This window comes from Homo sapiens, chromosome 13 (genome assembly GCF_000001405.40).
Source record: "Homo sapiens chromosome 13, GRCh38.p14 Primary Assembly".
NCBI lineage: Eukaryota > Metazoa > Chordata > Mammalia > Primates > Hominidae > Homo > Homo sapiens.
In genome coordinates this window covers 63,056,401-63,061,123 of record NC_000013.11, presented here as the reverse complement: position 1 = coordinate 63,061,123, position 4,723 = coordinate 63,056,401, and the positions used below count along the sequence as shown (strand labels likewise).

Below are 4,723 nucleotides of genomic sequence, written 5' to 3'. Positions count from 1 at the left end.
TAGGTTGACAGCCTATGGAAATGCTTACTTATGTATAGTATATGAATTTCTAGTAATCATTTATTATAAAGGAATATGAATGTGTGCATTAAGTGCAAAACTGACATTTACCTCCAAATAATTTATATTAGTAATTTGCTCCAGAATGGTTCACCTATTTTTGCTAAGAGAATGTTTTGATCTAGTTTTCTAATTACAAATAAGTCAATATTACACCCTCACCTTATATTTAATGTTTTGTGTTTAAAACTTTTTCCTTATCCGTGAAGATAGATAATCCAATTATGAATATAATCTTTACAATATATCTGGAATGCTCACTTTATTTACATTTGGAAGCAATGTCTTTTAAAATGACACAATCATCTATAAAATAATCTGAAAATTAATTGGAAATAATAATGCACTTATAAATTTTAATTACATACTACTATCTTATTAAAAATTAAACTTATGATTATGTAAAAAGTGAATAAACTCTTGAGAAAATCAAGACAATGTGAATATTATTTCAGGCAGGTTGGATAAAGAAATTTCTTATGATTGTATGTCTTTCATTAGTACATGACCCAAAAATTAAAAATATATATTTTCATACATTATGTTTTCAGTTTTAAATCAGGAATAAAACATGATGAATGACAAATAGTTAGGTATTTTTGATATATTTAAAAATTAGTAAATTCTATACTGTAGCAGATGTGCTAATATTCCTTTTAGTCAATCTCATATATTCAAGACAATGGAAATTTTGAATTATAACATCAAAATATCATTTTTATCATTTTAATGTTTTTATTGAAGTGTCAAAATAAAAAATTATTGGGAGATGAAAAGTTTTAATAAATATAATTAAAATTATTCATGCAATAATATTTAACACTTTGTGCCACCACATATAATGTACGATTGCATAAGTTTAAATATTCAAAAGCTTTATACAGTTATGTAAATTAGATGTGACATTATTTTATTATTAATAAAAACATATAGTGAATTTTAAGTTTCAGTGCCTTCAAGCTATTAAGTGGCAGGATCTGTAAACAAGGTATAACTTTCTCATTAAATTTACTCTATATCGCATTGAATCTGAGATCGGATTATATAAAACACACAGAAGAATACCATAACTTTCAAGTCAAAACGGTATTTCAGCTTTATAAAGATGGATGATGTACAAGAAGAGAAAACTTAAAATTATAAATAAAACATCTAATGTTTAGATTTTATTCAACACTAAGGAGACTTTTTTATTTTTTAATATGTGTGATTTCATTTTATTTGCAGAAATTTTTGATACATAAATGAAACAATTTGTTACTTTGTAAAAGAAAAATTTGTTATCTCCTTTTTTCAAATATATGCTTAGATTAATACTGTTTGATATATAAAGCTTGATTTCCATAGAATGTTTCAAGAAGATTGCCTCTTGATATAAATGAAGTACATATAAAATGTATATCAAACTACTGGTTTCCCAAAACAAATATAATGGTTGTAATATAAAAACATAATTTTGAATCCTGAAATTGTGGAAACAATTTATAATTTATTTTTAGTACAATTAGTCCCTAAAGTGTAAATTTAAATAATAATTGATAAATTATAAATAATTATAAATAAATTGATAAATTTTAAAACAGGTATTCAGTTTATTTGACAACATTTTTATTGGGTAATTAACAAAATTTTGTCATTGTAATACGAAGCCATTTCCTCAAAATTATAGATGAGATCTCAATATACCCAGTTCACATTTATTACCTCCTTCTTTAGAGTATTTCCCAATATATAGCTCTTTACAATTTTATAATATTTTGACATGTCTTTTTATGGTGTAGTTGGATGAGTCCACTATTTGTTTATGCACAAAGAGTTCAGCATGCAGTTTCTTCCACTTAATAACTGTTTAATCTTAAACTAGTTTTTATGCTTTCATCTCAATAAGTATTATGGGAAAAAATTTCTAGGGAAGGTTTGTTAAAATGTTAACAATGCATTATTATATTGGCCCTCCTGTGTATGTGTATATAGGCATTGCATACATAGGAGAAGAATAACACGAAAATTCAAAACAAACATATAAAAAAACATGGTAAATATCTAGCTTACAAAACAAGAACTTGTCATATGAATTTGGTTTTGAATTTCTATACGCAAAAAAATACGATATATTTAAAGACTAAACAAATATTAGAGACATAGGATGGCTTAAGAAAACCAAAACTCTTAGCTAAATAGATAAAAATAAAGGCCATAAATCATAATAATAATAAAAAAACACAAATGCAGAGAAGTAAGATAGTACTGTAACTGGTATTAACACCGAGAACGTCTGTTGAATACTTTTAGCCTAGAACTGAATCTTAGTGGAGATATATATATATATATATATATATATATATATATATATATATATATATATATGTTTATTTCTTTTCTTTTTTTGCACAAATCGAGAGATAAACTACCAAACCTGGAACCTATAAAGGGTGAAAGTTCAGTTTAGAGACAAGACCCCACAGGGAATGATCTCCTGAGTGCACAAAAATGCACACCTTATTACAAAAGATCATGTATTTGCCCATATTGACAATAACATTGAGTAGAAATCAAAAATAAAAGCTAAAAGTCTCCACTAAGTTTCTAGAGACACAATCTAATAGTTACCGGTGGAGGGTGTCCGGATCCTTGGCGTTTTGAACAAAGAACCGGACAAAATGCACAAACAAAGCAAGGAAAGAATGAAGCAGCAAAAGCAGAGATTTACTGAAAATCAAAGTACACTCCACAGGGTAGGAGCTGGCCTGAGAAAAGGTGCTCAAGAGCCCTATTACAGAGTTTCTGGGGAAACCCTCTAGAGGTTTCCCATTGGTTACTTGGTGTACACCCCATGTAAATGAAGTCGTGGCCCACATCAGAATGATTGTTTCTCAGAATTGTTCAAAAAACGCCAATCCTCAGATTTGGGGCAGGGGCCAAATAAATTAAAAACCAACCTATAACTATTACTCTAAAATAAGTCAAAATTTAAAAAATAAACAATATGAAAATTGATGTAAAGGAAAGCACAACAAAATTATTGAAATAGATGAAAATATTAAATATTTTAAAAATATTAATGGTAAAATGCCTTAAAAATTCCCTCTAAGAAAAAAAAAATTACCAGTTGAGTTTCATGCCGAAAGACAGCTTCATGGCTGAAGACTATGAGACAGGCTAAGGTAAGAGAATTTCCTGAGCCCAGGAGGTTATGCCCAACCTGGGCAATCTAGCAAGACCCTGTCTCTAAAATAAACAAAAAAATTCTCAGACTAAATAAAAAAATTCCAAATTTATGCTTTTTTAAAAAAAAACCTTTCTAATGCTTACAGATGGTCAAAAGTAAAATAACAGAAATATCTCATGTGAGTACTAATCACAAGAATCTTATTCTACATAGGCTATTACCAGTAGAATAAACATTAAGGCAAAGCAATAATAAGAACAAACCAAAACAAAACCTGTAACTCAAGACCAAGGCCAATATAGACTCAAAAAGTTTTAGTACATTTTAGATATATTTGTTTTAAATTTACAGTAATAAAAGAGCTTAAATTATACAAAGCAAAAATGATAGAACAAGGTTAGCTATAAGTCAATGATAGACTAAATGCATATATAGTTCTATATACATATAAAAATTTAAGTAACAAAATTAGTAAGTTTAAGCTGAATAAAATGCATAGAATGCAGCCTGTATTAGTCTGTTTTCACAGTACTACTAAGAACTATCTGAGATTGGATAATTTATGAAGAAAAGAAGTTTAATTGACTCACAGTTTTGCATGGCTGGGGAGGCCTCAGGAAACCTACAATCGTGGTGGAAGGCGAAGGGGAAGCAAGGCACATCTTCCCACAGAGGCAGGAGAAAGAGAAAGAGTGAAGGGGGAAGTGCCACACTTTTAAACCATCAGATCTCCTGAGAACTCACTCACTATCAGGAGAACAGCAACGGGCAAATCTCCCCCCATGGTCCAATCACCTCCCACTAGGTCCTTCCCTCAACACATGGGGATACAATTCGAGATGAGATTTGGGTGGGGACACAGAGCCAAACCATATCACAGCTCTTCCAAACTAAAGCATATACACGGTTTCAAAAACCCATGATATATTTGGATAAGTAATCATGTGCTGGTCATATCTTATTGAAAAATTAGTATCATAAGCCTTATTTTTTGACCATATTGTTATCACTATAAACATTAGTAACAACAGTAAAATAACATAAAAGACCTTATGGACATAAAAATTTAATGAGCTCATACAAAACTAATAATACAGATAAAATTCCTTAGAACTCAGTATGTAAATATTACTTCTTGAAACTTGTGAAAGGCAGATAAAGCAGTACGTATAAATTTGTGTTACACAATATATGGTAATTAATTATAACAGATGGGATGAAAAAAATCATTACTAAGATGTCAAATTCCCCAGATTAATCTGTCAAATTTTACGGTATTTGGTGGAATATCATTATGTCATATCTCATTAAATGTCAATGACTTTCAACAAGATAAGAAGTTCTTGTTGATATATTGATCATTTCCCAATAGGCAGCCTTAGTACTCCAGTTTTTCTTAGTGACTCACTGGCTACTTGTTTTGGGCTGGGGATTACTGTGATGAAGCTATATGGCCCTGGAAAGAAACAGATAATTATTTGAAAAACATGGTAG

At 29.4% G+C, this 4,723-nt stretch overlaps 1 annotated feature.

Annotated features, from left to right (window-relative positions):
- Positions 3,674 to 4,175: an enhancer, noted in NCBI's record as "OCT4 hESC enhancer chr13:63631082-63631583 (GRCh37/hg19 assembly coordinates)". NCBI's record gives its function as "activates a minimal SCP1, AML or CMV promoter by ChIP-STARR-seq in naive H9 embryonic stem cells {active_cell/tissue: H9 hESC(naive)}" and the evidence as "EXISTENCE:reporter gene assay evidence [ECO:0000049][PMID:30033119]".